This window comes from Homo sapiens, chromosome 12 (genome assembly GCF_000001405.40).
Source record: "Homo sapiens chromosome 12, GRCh38.p14 Primary Assembly".
Lineage (NCBI taxonomy): Eukaryota > Metazoa > Chordata > Mammalia > Primates > Hominidae > Homo > Homo sapiens.
Window position 1 is genome coordinate 6,985,436 of NC_000012.12, and position 20,016 is coordinate 7,005,451.

The window sequence follows — 20,016 nt, forward strand, 5'->3', positions numbered from 1 at the left end:
GGTGCAGTGGCTCACGCCTGTAAACCAAGGCACTTTGGGAGGCTGAGGTGGGTGGATCACTTGAGATCCGGAGTTTGAGACCATACTGGCCAACATGGTGAAACCCCATCTCTACCAAAAATATAAAAAATTAGCTGGGTGTGGTGGCGGGTGCCTGTAATCCCAGCTACTCGGGAGGCTGAGGCAGGAGAATCACTTGAACCTGGGAGGCAGAGTTTGCAGTGAGCTGAGATCGTGCCATTGCACTCCAGCTTGGGCAACAGAGCGAGACTCTGTCTCAAAACAAACAAACAAACAAATGCCATTTGATCTTCCTGGTGCCAGGATCAACTGGTGTTTTTTTTTTTTTTTGAGATGGAGTTTAGCTGTTTTTACCCAGGCTGGAGAGTGCAATGGCACGATCTTGGCAGCTCACTGCAACCTCCGGCCCCTAGGTTCAAGCGATTCTCCTGCTTCAGCCTCCCAAGTAGCTGGGATTACAGGTGCCCGCCACCATGCCCAGTGAATTTTTGTATTTTTAGTAGAGACGGTATTTCACCATGTTGGCCAGGCTGGTCTCGAACTCCTGACCTCAGGTGATCCACCTGCCTTGGCCTCCCAAAGTGCTAGGATTACAGGCGTGAGCCACCACGCCCGGCCAACTGGTGTTTTTTTTTTAATTGCTGTTCCCATAATAGGCTAGGCTCTTAAATTTATAGCTTCATGCAAGTATAGTTGACCCTTGATCAACACAATTTTGAACAGCAAGGGTCCCCTTAGACTTCCCTCTGCCTCTGCCACTGCTGAGATGGCAACCCTTTCTCTTTCTCCTCCTCCTTGCCTGCTCAACCTGAAGATCATGAGGAGGAAGACCTTTATGCTGATCCACTTCCACTGAATGAAGAGTAAACATATTTTTTCTTGCTTATGATTCTCTTAATAACATTTTCTTTTCTATAGTTTACTTTATGGTAAGAAATACATATATAACACAAATGACATACAAAATATATGTTAATCAACTTGTTTATGCTATTGGTAAGTCTTCTATTAGTAGTTAAGTTTTTGGAGAGTCAAAAGTTATATGTGGCCGGGTGTGGTGGCTCATGCCTGTAATCTCAGCACTTTGGGAGGCTGAAGCAGGTGGATCACGAGGTCAGGAAATCGAGACCATCCTGGCTAACATGGTGAAATTCCGTCTCTACTAAAATACAAAAAATTAGCTGGGCATGGTGGCACACACCTGTAGTCCCAGCTACTCAGGAGGCTGAGGCAGGGGAATCGCTTGAACCTGGGAGGCAGAGGTTGCAGTGAGCAGAGATTGCAGTGAGCAGAGAGAGCCACTGCACTCCAGCCTGGTGACAGAGTGAGACTCTGTCTCAAAAAAAAAAAAAAAAAAAAAAAAAGTTACACCTGTCGGCCGGGTGCGGCAGCTCACACCTGTAATCCCCTACTTTGGGAGGCTTAGGCGGGTGGGTCGCCTGAGATCAGGAGTTTGAGACGAGCCTGGCCAACATGGTGAAACCCCATCTCTACTAAAAATACAAAAATTAGTTAGGCGTGGTGCAGGCACCTGTAATCCCACCTACTTGGGAAGCTGAGGCAGGAGAATTGCTTGAACCCAGGAGGCGGAGGTGGCAGTGAGCTGAGATCACGCCATTGCACTCCAGCTTGGGCAACGAGCAAGATTCTGTCTCAAAAAAAAAAGAAAAAAAAGTTTTATGAGGATTTTTGACTGTACAAGGGGTGGGATCCCATAGGACCTGCGCTGTTCAAGGCTCAACTGTAATTAATTCTACAGATATCTTATGGATTACTGGCTCATGTATTCATTCACCAAGTGTTTAGTAAATGCCTGCTATATGCCAGGTATTCTGTTTATGAAGCACGTAATTGGGTAGGAGGTGGCATGTGATGGTTCGTTTTCTAGCTGGCTGAGATGATGGGATATAGGATCACTAGCTCTAGGGAGGTGGAGACATCTATGACCCTTTCAGGTAGATCAATGAGCAAGGAAATAGGATCAAGTCTCATATATTTCACATGGGCAGAAATTTGGCAGAGACAGAACACCAGGTTAGCAGCAAATATTGCTAAGAACTAGAGCCAGGAACTAGAAAGTATATAGACTAAATGTCAATGCCTTCAATCTTTTGCTTTATTTTTACTTTTGTTTTAGTAACGGGGTATAAATAAAAAAATATAAAACAGTAGATAATTATCTAGAGCACTCATAAATAAGTTCTAGGTAGCTAAGTTTCTCTCTTTAAGCATGAAAACCCTTAACCATTTGGAATGCTCGAAATTAAAAAACACCACACATATTACTCTGCCTCTTTAAGTTGAATCTAATTTAACATTTTCTAGGTGTCTGGATCGTATCTATTCCAGAGTAAAGTCATGATGGCTTTATGACGTTCTGAGGTATGTGAAATTGTCTGCCTGACTCTAACAAGGCCTACACTGTCCTGAGTTCTGAGTTCTTGTGTCCACTTCTTATAGCCTGTCTGTCCCTTTCCTTGCTACTCTGGGATCAACAGTCACCTCTTGAACTTTTGGGGTGCTTGGCAATAGTTCCTCTCCCTACTCCTAATTTACGGCAGGCCTTAGAAACCATAACCTTATTTTAAAGGTGTAAAAAAAAAAAGATTTAAGACAAAAGCAAGGGGCTTGGGTGCTTTCCTTATGGACTTAGGCCTGGTAACATCTGTTCTGGCCACTTAGAGGCCTTGTGTGCTATTTCTTGTTTTCAGGTGCGTTTTGCAGGAGGGGACGTTGTTGAGTTCCAAACAGGTGAGGTATTGCACACTAGCAAACACATGAGAAGAAGGCGGAGGAATTGGGAGAAAAATAAAAAGAATGCAGCAGGCCAGGTTAGCAGGAACGTTAAGACGGTGACGGAGAACAGCAAAGCCTGGAAGCAAGCCGCCGTGGAGAAGGAAGAACTGTGCTGAGGTGAGTTGCTGTGACAACCCAGGCTGATTTTGAGTATGTAAACACCAAACCTTGTTCTTGGCTGCCGCTCAGCTCAGCGGGCTTTGGAGCCTGGCTGCCCAGCCACCACTTCAGGGATGTGCTGTTTTTAGGGAGGGTGTGACCCTACAAGATGTTTCTGAGCCTTAATGCTTTTTTGTGGGAGCCAATGCTTAATATGGTGGCTAGAGTTACCTGAAGAATCTATAAAAAATGACCGAAGCCCCTTCTGCTCACCCTCCCACTCATCAGAGTTGGCTTCCGTGGGTCTGAGTGGGAAGGACTTCCACTTTTAACAGCATGAGACACGGTTCTGACAGCCCCACTAACATCCGAATGCAGGCCGCAGTGCTCAGTCCTGAGGATAAAATTCTCAGCTTGGAGATTGGGGTTGATGCCTTACCTTTATTAGCACCAGATGGGTTTGTAACAACCCAGAGGTTTGTAAGAACTTGTTGGCCGGGCGCCGTGGCTCACGCCTGTAATCCCAGCACTTTGGGAGGCCGAGGCAGGCGGATCACCTGAGGTCAGGAGTTTGAGACTAGCCTCAACATGGAGAAACCCTGTCTCTACTAAAAAAAATACAAAATTAGCTGGGCGTGGTAGTGCATGCCTGTAATCCCAGCTACTCGGGAGGCTGAGGCAGAATTGCTTGAACCTGGGAGGTGGAGGTTGTGGTGAGCCGAGATCACGCCATTGCACTCCAGCCTGGCAACAAGAGCGAAACTCCATCTCAAAAAAAAAAAAAGAACTTGTTTGGCAGCACTGTAACTGTTCCTTCTTTTTGATTGTTTGTTTAAAGCAGGGACTTCAGAAATTTATTAGCAGGCGAAGGATGATGACCTTTAGTACACTCCAAACCTGAGGATCTTCTACTAGAATGGGACCTTTATAATCCCTAATGCTAGGGACATTCAAAATGCGTGTTTTTTTTTTTTTTTTTTGAGACAGAGTCTCTGTCGCCCAGGCTGGAGTGCAGTGGTGCAATCTCGGCTCACTGCAAGCTCCGCCTCCCGGGTTCACGCCATTCTCCTGCCTCAGCCTCTCCGAGTAGCTGGGACTACAGGCGCCCGCCATCACGCCCAGCTAATTTTTTGTATTTTTAGTAGAGACAGGGTTTCACCGTGGTCTCGATCTCCTGACCTCGTGATCCGCCCGCCTCGGCCTCCCAAAGTGCTGGGATTACAAGCGTGAGTCACCGTGCCCGGCCAATGCTGTGGTCTTTCAAGCAGCTGCTGGGATACATTTAATTTGTACAAGCCCTCTTCAGGGGTTGTAGTCAAGCACAGGGAGTGGATAGAACTGTATTATTCAGTCTCTGGACTTCACTCAGTTCCAAGTGCTGTTTGTGTCAGGGACCAGATCTATCACAACGTGCATTGTTAGCGGGAACGTTTTCTTATTTCCTGTACAATAGTTGTGAGATTACTTATTAATCCTAAAGTTGTGAGGTTTCATCTGAAGAAACAGAAATGGACTGTTTCCATTAAGTCTGGTAAATTTGGCTGGGAGTGGTGGCTCACACCTGTAATCCCAGTGCTTTGGGAGGCTGAGACGGGAGAATCACTGGAACCCAGGAGTTTGAGACCAGCCTGGGCAACATAGCAAGACTCTGTCTCTACAAAAAATAAAAAAAATAGTTGGGTGGGGTGGGTGGTGCGTGCCTGTAGTCCCAGCTACTTGAGAGGCTGAGGCAGGAGGATCACCTGAGTCTGGGGAGACAGAAGCTACAATGAGCTACGATGATGCCACTGCACTCCAGCCTGGGCAACAAAGTTGTTTTTTTTGAGACCCTGTCTCAAAAATAAATAAATAAATAAATAAAAATAAAAAAAATATAAGCGGGGCACGGTGGCTCATGCCTGTAATCCCAGCACTTCGGGAGGCTGAGGCGGGCGGATCACGAGGTCAGGAGATCGAGACCATCCTGGTTAACATGGTGAAACCCTGTCTCTACTAAAAATACAAAAAATTAGCCGGGTGTGGTGGCGGGCACCTGTAGCCCCAGCTACTCGGGAGGCTGAGGCAGGAGAATGGTGTGAACCTGGGAGGCAGAGCTTGCAGTGAGCCGAGATTGTGCCACTGCACTCCAGCCTGGGCGACACAGTGAGACTCCGCCTCAAAAAGAAAATTAAAATAAAATAAATAAATAAATAAATAAATAAATAAATAAATAAATTGAGCACCCCAAACAACTTTTGTTAATGTGGGAACTATATATCAATGTCTACTGTGTTAGAAAATAAGACTAAAAACTGGGTGTGGTGGCTCACTCCTGTAATCCCAATGCTTTGGGAGGCCGAGGTGGGTGGATCACTTGAGGTCAGGAGTTTGAGACCATCCTGGCCAACATGGTGAAACCCTACTAAAAATACAAAAACCAGCCAGACATGGTGGCAGGCGCCTGTGATCCCAGCTACTTGGGAGGCTGAGGCAGGAGAATCGCTTGAACCCAGGAGGTGGGGGTTGTAGTGAGCTGAGATCACGCCACTGTGCTCCAGACTAGGCAACAGAGCGAGACTCCAAATCAAAAAAAAAAAAAAAAGGAAGAAAATAAAACTAAAAAAAAAGTAAAAGATATGATTAATTCAGTAAAAATATTAACAGTAAAACTACTACACATTATATTAATATAAATAACATACTTTAAATGTAAACCACTATATTTCCCAAAACAATCAAAGAAATAAAGCCATCTAATGAGAAGAATGCCACTGTTTTACATTTTCATAAATTTATGGCCTCTGTCTGACTTAATAGAAGATGACTGGATTCTCAAATCTGCTTCTGCATTTAATCTGTTGTAATATGTTAGTTTGGTTAAAATATACAAAGAAAATCTGGCTTTACACAGACAGAGAAAGTATCTGCATTTTCAGATAATTTTGGATATTCTTTAGCGCTACATCAAAACTTGACAAGTAGTAGTTTCTTAACAGTTAGGAACTTTTGTTATAATAAAACCCATTGGCTTCTCTTGCACTTTGAATGGATATTTTACCATGCATGACTTTGTAACATCACACATAGATCACTGCAAAATACTGGTTCCCTGTTGTTAGGCAGATCTTCTAAATACTGACATATTTCATTAGAATACATATCAAAAAATCATATTCCTTAAATTTCACCATTGATTTCAGCAGAAAAGTCTGTATATATTGAAAAGTGGTCAAGCTCATGGGAGTGGATACAAGTTTTCCAAAATTCTAATTTTTACTTGAAAGTGTAAATTTTATCACTGGCTACAAATATTGTCATTTGTTTACCTTGAAGTGACAGGCTCACTTCATACAGTTTCAAGAGACTGTCTGCCAGATGCCTAAGTCTAAAACCATAGTTTGTCTATCATTCTTTCAAGTAAAAATGGTGGTCGGTGAAAAAAGAAGCTGCTAAATCAATATGCAACTTGAATAATCGCCCAAATGCTTTTCCTTGTGACAACCACCGTACTCTACCAGTGTGCAGCAGAGGCGGTTTATGCATATTTCCCATTTCTTCAAACAAGTTTAAAAAGATGTACTCAGGATCAGGCATGGTGGCCCACACCTCCCAGCACTCTGGGAGGCCAAGACGGGTAGATCACTTTAGGTCAGGAGTTCCAGACCAGCCTGGCCAACATGGCGAAACCCCGTCTCTACTAAAAATACAAAAATTAGCTGGGTGTGGTGGTGCATACCAGTTAAAAAAAAAAGATTTATTCAAGGACTGACATTTGATACAATTAACAATATTTAGCCTGGGCGACAGAGTGAAACCCCATCTCTAAAAACAAAACAAAACAAAACAAAAACAAAAATTAGCCAGGTGTGGTGGTGCACACCTGTAGCCTCAGCTACTCAGGAGGCTGAGGTAGCATCACCTGAGCCCAGGAAGTTGAGGCGGCAGTGAGCTGTGATGCCCCCACCGCACTCTAGCCTGGGTAAGACCCTGCCTCAAAAAAAAAAAACAAAAAAAATTTACCACTTCATCAACGATTCTTAAGTGAAACTGGCTCTGTTTTGATTGTGAGTGCATGGCAGTAAAGAATGCAGTGACCACTGGTACAGTTTGGTGTCACCGTCCTGATTTGTGCTAAGGCGCCAGCAGTTTTACCACCATTTTGCAACATCAGTGCAAGTGTCAACATAGGGAAAAGACAAATACATCTTAGTAGTATCATGAAAATAATTTTTACCCCAAAGAGATTCCTTAAAGAAGTCTCAGGAACTTTTAGGAGTAGTCTATGGACTGCATGCTGATATGGAATGATTTGTTTTAATCTTTCATCTTCTAATACCCAAATCCACTAGTCTTTCCTTTCTCCCTGGTTTCCTTGACTGCCCTGCTGTGTTTTCAATCTTTTTGAAACTTCTCTTTCACTGGTTTCATTGGTTTTGAATACAGTTATCTCTTGGTGTCCATGAAGGATTGGTTCTAGTACTCGCAGCAGACACCACAGATGCTCAAGTCCCTTATATAATATGGTGTAGTATTGCATGTAACCTATGCACATCTTCACATACACTTTAAATCATCTCTGGATTACTCATAATACCTAATATAATGTAAATGCAATGCAAATAGCTGCTATATAGCATATTGTTTTTTATTTATATTTTTATTATTGTATTATTATTTAGCTTAGAATCCATGAATGTGGAACCCACAAATATGGAGGGCTGACTATACACAGTTTCCTGGATTTTTTTCTACTGAGATATAATTTACCATAAAATTCACCCTTCAAAGTGTAAAATGTAATGTTTTTTAGTATATTCAAAAGGTTGTCGCCGGGCATGGTGGCTTATGCCTGTAATCCCAGCACTTTGGGAGCCGGAGGAGGGCAGATCACGAGGTCAGGAGATCAAGACCATCCTGGCCAACATGGTGAAACCCTGTCTCTACTAACAAAAAATTAGCTGGGCGTGGTGGTGCCTGCCTGTAGTCCCAGCTACTCAGGAGGCTGAGGGAGGAGAATTGCTTGAACCCAGGAGGCAGAGATTGCAGTGAGCTGAGATTGCGCCACTGCACTCCAGCCTGGCAACAGAGCGAGACTCCATCTCAAAAAGAAAAAAAAAAAAGGTTGTGCAGCCATCCCCACTATCTATCTAATTTCAGAATATCTTCATCACCTCAAGTAGAAACCCCATACATGTTGGCAGTCATTTCCCATTCTCTCTTAACTCCCAGAGCCTGGCAACCATTCATCTACTTTATGTCTCTATAGATTGGCCTATTCTAGGTGTTTCATATAAATGGCGTCAGGCAATGTGTAGACCTTTGTGTCTGGCTTATTTCACTTAGCATGTTTTCAAGGTTCATCCATGTTGTAGCATGTATCAGTACTTCATTCCTGTTTATGGCTGAATAATATCCCGTTGTATGGATACTCTGCATTCTTTTTTTTAACATTTAAAAATTTTTTATAGACAAGGTCTCACTATGTTGCTCAGGCTGGTCTTGAATTCCTGAGCTCAAATGATCTGTCCACCTCAGCTTCCCAAAGTGCTAGGATTGCAGGCATGAGCCACTACGCCCAGCCTGGATACTCTGCATATAATCTACCCATTCATCAGCTGACAAACAACTGGGTTGTTTCCACTTTAGGAACATTATGAAGAATGCTGCTACAAACATTCATGCATTTTGTAGAGACAGGGTCTCACTATGTTGCCTAGGCCGGTCTTGAACTCCTGGCCTCAAATGATCCTCCTGCTTTGGCCTCCCAGAGTGCTGCAATTACAGGTATGAGCCCATGTACAAGTTTTTGTGTGAACATATGTTTTTATGTTTTCAATTCTCTTGGGTATATACCTAGGAATGGATCTCCTGGATCTTTTTCTTTTTTTTCCCTTTGGGACAGAGTCTCTCTGTGTTGTCCAGGCTGAAGTGCAGTGGCATGATCTTGGCTCACGGCAACCTCCGCTTCCCAGGTTCAAGTGATTCTCCTGTCTCAGCCTCCCGAGTAGCTGGGATTACAGGTGTGCACCACCATGCCCAGCTAATTTTTGTATTTTCAGTAGAGATGGGGTTTCTCCATGTTGGCCAGGCTAGTCTCGAACTCCTGACCTCAAGTGATCGACCTGCCTTGGCGTCCCAAAGTGCTGGGATTACAGGCGTGAGCCACCGGGCTGTTGCCCACGCTGGAGTGCAGTGGCATGCTCACAGCTCACTGCAGCCTCAACTTTCTAGGTTCAAGTGATCCTCCCACCTGAGCCTCCCTAGCAGCTGGGACTACAGGTGTGCACAGGACCGGCTAATTTCTTGTAGAGTTGGAGTTTCACCATGTTGCTCAGGCTGGTCTCGAACTCCTGAGCTCAAGCAATCTGCCCGCCTTGGCCTCCCAAAGTGTTGGGATTACAGGCATCAGCCACTGTGCTTGGCCAATGTTCACTCTTACTTTCTGTGCTTACTTCTGGCATGGGTTGGCTGACTACAATTTGAATAGACCCATCTTTCCGTTTCTTTCACCGAAGGCATTTTTTCTGGCTCCTAGATGTTGCTGACCCCCAGGATCCAGTCTTGGCCCTCCACTATTCTTGCTACACTGCTTCTTTGGAAACTCATCTACTCTCAAGTAACTTAATATAATCTTTATGCCAAAGACAGATCCACATCTTTAGTTCTAACTTCTTTTTCAGTTCCACATTTCCTACTTCCTTGCTGGACAGTTTTAATTTGATATTTCATTACCATCTCAAACTCTGTATAACTAAGGCATAAATTTCTCCCTAAATCAGCCTTCTCTGGGCTTTTTTTTTTTTTTTAAATTAACAGTGTTACCATTCTCCAGGTCACACAACATTCAAAAGTGTGTTTTCCTGCCAGGGCATGGTGGCTCCACGTCTGTAATCCCAGCACTTTGGGAGGCCAAGGCAGGCGGATCACCAGGTCAAGAGTTCAAGACCAGCCTGACCAACATGGTGAAACCCCATCTCTACTAAAAATACAAAAATTAGCCGGGCGTGGTGGTGCATGCCTGTAATCCCAGCTACTCAGGAGGCTGAGGCAGGAGAATCGCTTGAACCCAGGAGGCGGAGGTTGCAGTGAGCTGAGATCGTCTCACTGTACTCCAGCCTGGGCAACAGAGCCAGACTCCGTCTCAAAAAAAAAAAAAAAGTGTTTTCCTTCTTCATATTGGTTCTCTGTTATCTAGTCATGAAATCCTGTTGATTCCTCCTTTCCAGTCTCTCTCACCATCACTGTCACCATGACCATCACCACTCCCTTTTTCCTCTGCTGATTTGCAGTTAAAACCCTTATGGATCTCACCCTTAAATCCTTGCAATGGCCTCCTACCTGATCTCTGCCTGCACCACGTCTTCCCAGCAGTCCTATACCGGGGTAATCTTCCTTCAGCTCCTGCTCAGAAACCATCAATAGCTCCCAGCTGACTACTCAACAGAGTCAGCAATCCTGTCTGTTCTACCTTCAAAATAAATCCAAAATCTGACCACTTCTCTCCGCCTCTACTGCTTCCCCTGGTCTGAGTTGCCACTATCTCTGGATTATTATTATTAATATATCATTATTATATTCAATGTATTATCATTATATACTTGCCTCCTGACTGATCTCACCCTGCCTTTGCCTCCCTTCAGTCTAGCCTTAATGAAGCATCTAGAGGGTTCTATTCAACTTAAGTCAGCAGGTCACTCCTCTGCTCAAAGCCCTCTCAAGGCCTCTATTCTCACTCAGATCAAAAGGCTGATTGCCAGCACCCGCAGGTTCTGTCCCTCTGCCCGGGCCCCACTGTCCTCTGACTCATCTCTCAATCTGGCCTCTACCCTTCTGCTCCAGCCCCAAAGCTTTCCCTTCCTGGAATGTTAAGCAGGTCCAGCCTTGGTGCCTTCACATGGTAAGTTCCTTGCCTGGAAGGCTCTTTGCACAGATAAGCTCAAATCCTTCCTACACCTCAGGTCCTTTGTAAAATGTCACCATAAGTATCAGTGAGGACTTCCCTATCTTATCTAGAAGTGTATACAACACTACCCCTCCCCACCCTGTAACCCTCCCCCATCACACACTTCTTGTTCTTCTTTCCTGCTTTTTCTATTTTTCTTCTCAGTACTTATTACCTTTTGACATACCATATATCTTACTTTTCAGTCTTTCAAAGCAGGGATTATCATCTACTTTAGTCCCTACCGTACCCCAGTGCATAGTACAGTTCCTGGTACACAAAATTTCTCAAAAAGTATTAGCTGAATGGCCGAACAATGAGTGAACAAGTGCTCTGTACTCTAGGCAGTCAATACAATATTTATTAAGCACTCACTATGTGGTTAGCATTGCATTAGGCATTGGGGGAATATGGTAGAATTTTAAGAGGTGCTTTCTATTCTTAAGGAGCAAAATCAAACAATGATGTTCTATGCTAAGGGCTAACTGTATGGAATAGCCAATGTTGTAGAGGTTAAAGAGAAATCAATCTCGACCACAGTGGTCGGGAGAAGTAGTTCTTGAACAGAGAAGAGATGACGGCATTCCAAGGGAGGATAATGTAGTAAAGACACAGCGGTAGGAAGGAGCATGGGGCATTCACTCCAAGAGACTGGGCTAATTTCAAGGGAGGAAAAATATTGTAACAAAATGGATGGGAAAGTGAAAAACCAGGCAGAGTCTGAAATTGATAAATGGGAAAAAAAAAATCAATTGACTAGGTGTAGGAGAAGGAAAAGGACAAATTAAAGATGTTTATGCCACTGATATAATGGTCTTCAGGTCTTCAAACCTTTTTGCTGGCATAGCTCCTAGAAGAATTTTGAAAAACTGTATATCCTCCTTTCACATTTTAAAGTTGCCATCTAAACCTTATGTTTTTATTTCTTTATTTTTTTATTTTCTTGAGACAGTACTTCACTCTGTTGCCCAGGCTGGAGTGCAGCGGCACAATCACAGCTCACTGCAGTTTCAACTTCCTGGGTTCAAGTGATCCTCCTGCCTGAGCCTCCCAAGTAGCTAGGACTATAGGTATGTGCCGCCATGCCCCCAAAACAACAGCAAATTATGTGTGTGTGTGTGTGTGTGTGTGTGTGTGTGTGTGTGTGTGTGTGTGTTTCAAGACACAGTCTCACTCTGTTGCCCAGGCTGGAGTGCAGTGGTGCAATCTTGGCTTACTGCAACCTCTGCCTCCCAGGTTCAAGCGATTCTCCTGCCTCAGCCTCCCAGGTAGATGGGATTACAACTGTGTGTCACCATGCATGGCTGATTTTCTTTTCTTTTTTTTTTTTTGAGATGGAGTTTCGCTCTTGTTGCCCAGGCTGGAGTGCAATGGCGTGATCTCGGCTCACCGTAACCTCTGCCTCCTGGGTTCAAGTGATTCTCCTGCCTCAGCCTCCCAAGTAGCTGGGATTACAGGCAGGCGCCACCACACGGGGCTAATTTTGTATTTTTAGTAGAGACAGGATTTCACCATGTTGGTCAGGCTGGTCTCGAACTCCTGACCTCAGGTGATCCTCCTGCCTTAGCTTCCCAAAGTGCTGGGATTACAGGCGAGAGCCACTGCACCTGGCCGCATGGCTGATTTTTGTATTTTTAGTAGAGTAGGGTTTCACCATGTTGGCCAGGCTGGTCTTAAACTCCTGACCTCAAGTGATCTGCCTGCCTCAGCCTCCTAAAGTGCTGGGCATAAGCCACCATCCCTAGTCAGTGTGTGTGTTTTGAGGCAGGGTCTTGCTCTGTCGCAAAGGCTGGAGTGCAATGGCACAGTCATGGCTCACTGCAGCCTTGATCTCCTGGGCTCAAGTGATCTTCCGACCTCAGACCCCTGAGTAGCTGAGACCACAGGAATGTACTACCACATTCAGATAATTTTAAAATTTTTTGTAGAGATGGCATCTTGCTATATTGCCCAGGCTGGTCTTGAACTGCTGGGCTCAAGCAATCCTCCTGCCTCAGCCTCACAAAGTATTGGCATTACAGGTGTGAGCTACTATGTTTGGCCGTGTGTGTGCTTTCTAATGCCTATTGAAGGTGTGTTTTAAGTGCTTATGGCAGATGTCTGCCATGCAATCTAAATGGCAAACCAATCAGCTGGATCAGTCTTACTTACAACACACCTGGCCTGTCCCTCAACTTTTCTATTCTTTCACCAAAATGGAAGTTCCTTATGTTAGAGAACTTACAGAGAAAAGGAAGACAAAGGAAAATAGGAAGGAGAGTTAAGCTCTGCCTGACACTGTCTACTTAAGTGATGGGTAACTGATTAGGTTCAGTGCTTAGAACTTCATATAATGAGATACAAAATCTCATTACTGACCCACTCTGCCAGCTAGAAGAGCACTTGTAGATCATGGACATTTAGGTGGGGATATAGCCACCTTTGATCCTTTCTGTTCACTAGATTAAGCCTTGTTGCTAGTACAGGCAGGAGCCAACATACCTTCCACACTCCAGCAATCCTGTACACCTTGGGCTGAGTCATATGCTGAACAGTTATTCATGAATACAGATTCTTACTTAGAACTGAAGAATTACCTGCTCCAAACCCTTCATTAGGTAGATAAGAGACTAAGGTCCAAAGGGGATAACTGGCATGCCCAAGGTTAACAGAGCAGAGCTCAAATTAGAATCCACATCACCTGATTTCCATTCTACTATTCTTGCCACATGCCTTGGCACTTGGCAGTGACCTGGGAGTGAATCACTAATAACCAGCTGTGTGCTCTTTTAAAGCTACAGCTCTATTATTCTTTGATGTCCAGATAACAATCTATGCTCCAGCACCTGTTTATAGACATAAGCACACCCATTTTTATGTTTGCTTATCCTCCTATTGAAAAATATTTTAAAAGTTCATTTTAATGCTAAATTTAGGTGTACTTTCTTTGTTAATCTAATTCTTGAGCACTCTGCACCCTTCAGCAGTTCATTTCTGAAAGTTACCTCCACCTAAATAGCTCAAGCATTGTGACAGCTGTGATACAGGACTCATGGAAACTGGGACAAGTGATCAAAAATGTCTGAGGGAGGAACAATAGAGGGGACATTTTAAAGGTAAGCTATTGGATAGTTGTTACCTGTGAGAAAGAAAGAAAAAGGGTTAGGTTAAGAAATGTTAGTTTTTTACTCTCTCAACCCAGCCAAACAACCTAAACTTGAACTGTCCCAAAGGCCTACCAAAATTCTTTAATTTCTTCACTTAAGCTGAGTGCTCTTAATAAGCAAGACTTCTGAGGTGTAGTGCTAGTGATTAATGTTATACACACCCGTTGGCTGACTGGTGAAACCTGCTGCAATAACTAAAAATTATTCTATAAAAATGTATAGACAGAGAGAATGTTAAAGCTAAAAGAGGCCGTTGACTCATTTCTTTGTTTTAGTAGAACAGGTGCAACAGATTGAGGCACTTTAAGACATCTAAATGGCTTTACTAGCAAAGATAAAAATCACACTTGCCTGTACTCAGGGAATTTTATCACATTCTAATTCTTTGTAAATCAGTGAATCCCCTGGTGCAACTTCTAGCCAGATTATCTGGGCTTTGGAATCAGAATTATCTAGTTTAAAATTTAGCTCTGCAGCTTGGGCAAATTACTTACATTCTTTTTTTTTTTTTTTTTTTTTGAGACAGAGTCTCGCTCTGTTCCTCAGGCTGGAGTGCAGTAGTGCAGTCTTGGCTCACTGAAACCTCTGCCTCTCAGGTTCAAGCAATTCTCCTGCCTCAGCCTCCCAAGTAGCTGGGACTACAGGCGTGTGCCACCATGCCTGGCTAATTTTTGTATTTTTAGTAGAGATGGGGTTTCACCATGTTGGTCAGGCTGGTCTTGAACTCCTGACCTCTGGTGATCCGCCCGCCTCAGACTCCCAAAGTGCTGGGATTATAGGCGTGAGCCACCGCGCCTGGCCTACTTACATTCGTTAAACCTCAATTTCTTCATCTTTGAAATCGGGAAAATACCAGCCATCTTGCAGGGCATCTTAAAGGTGAAAATATTTGGCCGGGCGCGGTGGCTCATGCCCACCCAGCTCTTTGGGAGGCCGAGACAGGCAGATCACGAGGTCAGGAGATCGAGACCATCCTGGCTAACACAGTGACGCCCCGTCTCTACTAAAAATACAAAAAAAAAGCCGGGGCGTGGTGGCGGATGCCTGTAGTCCCAGCTACTCGGGAGGCTGAGGCAGGAGAATGGCGTGAACCCGGGAGGCAGAGCTTGCAGTGAGCCGAGATCACGCCACTGCACTCCAGCCTGGGAGACAGAGTGAGACTCAGTCTCAAAAAAAAAAAAAAAAAAAGCGAAAATATTTGCAAAAGTAGCATACATGTACTTCCTTCAGGCCACTTAAAATACTTATGCATGTCTAAATATTTTATATAAGCATACCTACACCTAACTTCTTAAAAATTGAGTATTCTTTTTTTGAGACGGCTGTCGCCCAGGCTAGAGTGCAGTGGCGCGATCTCGGCTCACTGCAAGCTCCGCCTCCCGGGTTCACGCCATTCTCCTGCCTCAGCCTCCTGGGTAGCTGGGACTACAGGTGCCCGCCACCACGCCTGGCTAATTTTTTTGTATTTTTAGTGGAGACGGGGTTTCACCGTGTTAGCCAGGATAGTCTCGATCTCCTGACCTCGTGATCTGCCCGCCTCAGCCTCCCAAAGTGCTGGGATTATAGGTGTGAGCCACTGCGCCCGGCCGAAAATTGAGTATTCTTTTAATGGATTTTAAGATATAAAATCTCAGGCTCAGAAATTTGAGCCACCTAGGGGTGAGAAATTTTGGCCTTTGCCCGCTTCGAACTGACTTAACTAAATTAAATCTATAGAAAGTAAAAAATAAAGGTCTGTGAATGTACCCAGTACTCTCAGGAAGAAGCATATTTGCCATGAAGCTAAAAAAGCTTCAGTTTCACTCCCCTTCCAAGGCTCTGGGGGGTGGGGTGGGGGCGGGAGCTAGCAACGTGCTCACATGGTCATATATTTTTGTAAAACTTATAGAAGATATTTTTGTATTCTTTTTCTTAAAGAAGATATCCAAGATTGTATAAGCTTCAGATCCCAGAAATCCTAGATTTAAAAAAAATAATCAACCACCACCCCAACAAAATTAGGCACATGCCTGAAAATTCTGCTGCTACTGCCAGAATTCTGCGGGTAGGGGCTTCATCCAAGGTGTTCCTAATAATAGGCAGAGTCCCCAGATTAGTTCCGGTGAGGCTTTTGGGAGGGGTTATTTGGCGCGGTGTTGGTGTTGGTAGGATCCTGGCTGTGAGGCTGAGGCAGGCCTGAGGAGGGCTGGGGCTGACAGGTAGGCAGAGTTGGCTGGGATGTGAGGTGCAAGGGGTGGTACTTCGGAAACAAACTTTGAAGAGGAGAAGGGGCAGCAAGACTGTGAGTCTGGACTTTGTGATACACTGTCACCCCTAGTTTAGTGTGCCTGGTTAGGGAGAATCAAGCAGCATGGAACCCCTCTTCCTTTTTCACTAACATTTTTCTGTATAGTGGTTGAAACCCAGTGTTAAGAGACTGCATGACATTGGAAAAGAAGGGGAGGAGAAAAAGAGTCCATATGAGGCAAGAACAGAACGCAGCCAGAATTAGGGCAGGCAGGGAAAGGAAGGGAGTGAGATGTGGGAGTCGGGGGGGAGTTGAGGTAACCTGCATTTTATATGCTAGAGCTACGTATTTTAGATGCAGGGGCAACTGTTTCGGTCCAGGAGTGGAAAGGACTGTAGAAGCAATCTAGCACAGCTGTTTCTCACTTGGGAAAACTGAAGCCCTCAGAGGCAGAGGGAGGAATGGGGAGCGGCCAGGCCAGGACAGGACTCAGCCCCCAGTTCCTCTTCTCAGGCGTCCGATTCCTTCTGATCTTTCTCTCCTGCCCTCTCTGTTACTGCTTCCTCCTGTTCTTACCCTTATATACACTTGAAGTTTTATCCCCATTTTTTATGCTTATGGGATTGTACACTTTCTGGTTCTCTCTCAAGTCCAACCAGTATGTGGTAACCTGTCTCTTCCCACTTCATTTGTGGCACTGGTTTGCAGTGGACAAAAGGTCCGTGCTCCTCTTCTAACCTAATCTGGACTGGGTTGCCCAAAGGTTGCCCTGCCACACTGCCAAGTGCCTAATTAGCTGTTTTCTCTCCAACCCCTCCAAACACTTATCATGAGTAATTTCTCTTGTCTTTAGAGTTGCCAAATCTAATCTCTGTAAATACAAATGTGGTGAGACTTCTTCTCAGGAGTTTCAGCAAATGAAACAATAAACTCTTTTTTACCCTGCTAAGATTCTAAAGATAACCATGAGAATACTCCTAATTATCCTTATAAATTTGAATAAGTGTGGTTGTTGGGTTCTCTCACCCTTTTTATATCCCTTCAAAAGAAAATACAAGTTTGAATTCTATAAAATATTTTTCTGGCCGGGCGCAGTGGCTAACGCCTGTAATCCCAGCACTTTGGGAGGCTGAGGTGGGTGGATCACAAGGTCAGGAGTTCAAGACCAGCCTGGCCAACATGGTGAAACCCCATCTCTACTAAAAATACAAAAGTTAGCTGGGCGTGGTGGCGGGCGCCTGTAATCCCAGCTGCTCAGGAGGCTGAGGCAGGAGAATCACTTGAAACTGGAAGGCAGAGGTTGCAGTGAGCTGAGATGGCACCACTGCACTCCAGCCTGGGCGAAAGAGTGAAACTCCATCTCAAAAAAAGAAAAAAAAAATTTCTAATATTTATGGAATGCACTCTCTTATATACCAACATACATTTGTAGCATTTTTTTTCCTTCAGAGTATGAAGAAATCAGTAAAAATGGGCAAAGCACAAATGACAACTAATGGATTTTGTTAAGTCCTATGTGTCACTTTAAGAACTTGAAACTGGCTCAAATAAAAACCATTTTATTTGGTTATTAAAATGAGACTTAAAAACTTAAAACAAGATTTTAAGTGATCTTAAAATGTCTTATCCTACAGAAGATTTTAGAGGCAATGTAGTACAAAAAGCTCTTCCTTTTCTCTGAAGAATTTATTGAGTGCTTTGGGAGTAGGGTGAGTTTTTTTTTTTTTTTTAACATATGTTTGATTCAATTAAGCAAAAATATTGTTTCATGTCTCACTGAACTGAATACATTCTACTATCCATTGGTTTTCAATGTTCACTTATTTATTTTATTTTAGTAGAGACTGGGTCTCACTGTGTTGTCCAGGTTGGGTTTTCAAATTTTATGTCTAACACAGTGTGCTAAATACAACTGAGTTTCATAAGCCATTTTTCCCACTTCTGTACATGGCACTGGTCTCAACCTGTATCATGCATAAGAATTACCTAGGATGCGGCCGGGCGCGGTGGCTCACGCCTGTAATCCCAGCACTTTGGGAGGCCGAGGCGGGTGGATCATGAGGTCAGGAGATCGAGACCATCCTGGCTAACAAGGTGAAACCCCGTCTCTATTAAAAATACAAAAAATTAGCCGGGCGCGGTGGCGGGCGCCTGTAGTCCCAGCTACTTGGGAGGCTGAGGCAGGAGAATGGCGTGAACCCGGGAAGCGGAGCTTGCAGTGAGCCGAGATTGCACCACTGCAGTCCGCAGTCCGGCCTGGGCGACAGAGCGAGACTCCGTCTCAAAAAAAAAAAAAAAAAAAAAAGAATTACCTAGGATGCTTATTAAAAATGCAGATTCCCAATTCCTGAAGGGAGGTCATGCCTTGGCATCTTACTTAGCGAATCAGTGCTATACAGAAAGTATGAGAGACTGGTTCATATCAAAGAATATTGTGAAACTCTACACTATATTTGTGAAGATATAGAAAACCCGTTTTATGGCTAAAAATCATCATTTTACTACTACTAAGCTTCATTATTAGTAGATGGAGTTTTTTTAAAGGGTCATTTTTCACAAAGAAAAATTTGTTTTGTCTTTTAACACTTTAGGACTGTTACTTCATAGTTTATCCGGGGCAGAGAACAACAGCGGGTTACTCTCAAACCTGCTCTGGAGTTTCAGACTAGCAGCTGACATTTTTGGGGACCTTTCTTTAAGCTTGACATTGTAAACACTTTGTATGTATTAACCCACTTAATCCTCAAAACAACCTTGATGAGTAGGTATCCTTATCTTACGGAAGAGGAAGCTGAAGCACAGACAGGGTTAGTGACTTACCTAAGGTCACAGTGCTGGAAGGTAGCCCAGCTGGAATTTGAACCCAGACAGCATGTGGGTTCAGAGTGTTTTCATTTTTAACTACTCTGCTATATTACCCTCTCTAGTTTTCAGTATTCATATTAGCACCTCAGCCTTCCCCAGATGACTACAAATCCCATACATATGTGTATACACACATACCCAGGGTCATTCATGAAATCTGAAACTTCGGGTGTTCAATTTGACTTTATAGAACCTTCTACCTCTCCTGGCTGATAGTATCTCTTTCTCATTTCACAAATTAAACTTCCTATAACACTACCTTAAACATGCCACCCCTGCTCAAAATACTCTGGTGGCTTCCTACGATCTATAAGATGAAAGCTAACTTCCTTAGCTTGCCATTCAAGGCCCTTCACAGTCTTTCCAGTCTTACTGTTTATTCTATCCCTACTTGAGCACAAAGCATTTTTTTCTTTGATCATGCATAGTCCTTCTTTCTTCATTTTTTTAAGTGTACAATTCAGTGGATTTTAGTATATTCAGTGTTATGCAACCATCTCCACTATCTAATGCCAGAACATTTTCATCTCTGCTATCTAATGCCAGAACATTAGAAACCCTGTACCGCATAGTGGCCATTCCCAATTCACCCTTCCTCTTATCCCCTAGCAACCACCAATCTATTTTCTGTCTTTACGAATTAGCTTATTCTGGGTATTTCATATAAATGGAATCATACAATATGTGGCCATTTGTGTCTGGCTTGTTTCATGTCACAATTTTTCAAGGTTCATCTGTGTCGCAGCATGTGATCAGGATTTCATTGTTTTCTTATGGCTGAATAACATTCCATTGTGTGGATATAACATTTTGTGTATTCATTCAATTTGTCCCAATTGGTGGACAACTGGGTTGTTTCCACTTTTGGCTATTATAATAAAGCTATGAACATTTGTGTACAAGTTTTTGTGTGAATCTATGCTTTCAGTTCCCTTGGGTGT

General features: G+C 43.8%; 2 protein-coding genes across 2 annotated transcripts in view; one reads left to right on the plus strand and one right to left on the minus strand.

Annotated features, from left to right (window-relative positions):
• EMG1 (EMG1 N1-specific pseudouridine methyltransferase) overlaps positions 1-11,993 on the plus strand; it is a 26,516-nt gene extending 14,523 nt beyond the window's left edge. The window contains exons 6-8 of the transcript NR_135131.2: positions 2,347-2,403; positions 2,733-2,934; positions 11,790-11,993. The gene's annotated coding sequence lies outside the window, so the exon portion shown is untranslated. The remainder of the gene's footprint in view (positions 1-2,346; positions 2,404-2,732; positions 2,935-11,789) is intronic.
• The window catches only part of LPCAT3 (lysophosphatidylcholine acyltransferase 3), a 42,292-nt gene that overhangs the window by 9,251 nt on the left and 13,025 nt on the right, over positions 1-20,016 (minus strand). The gene's annotated exons all lie outside the window — the stretch shown is intronic.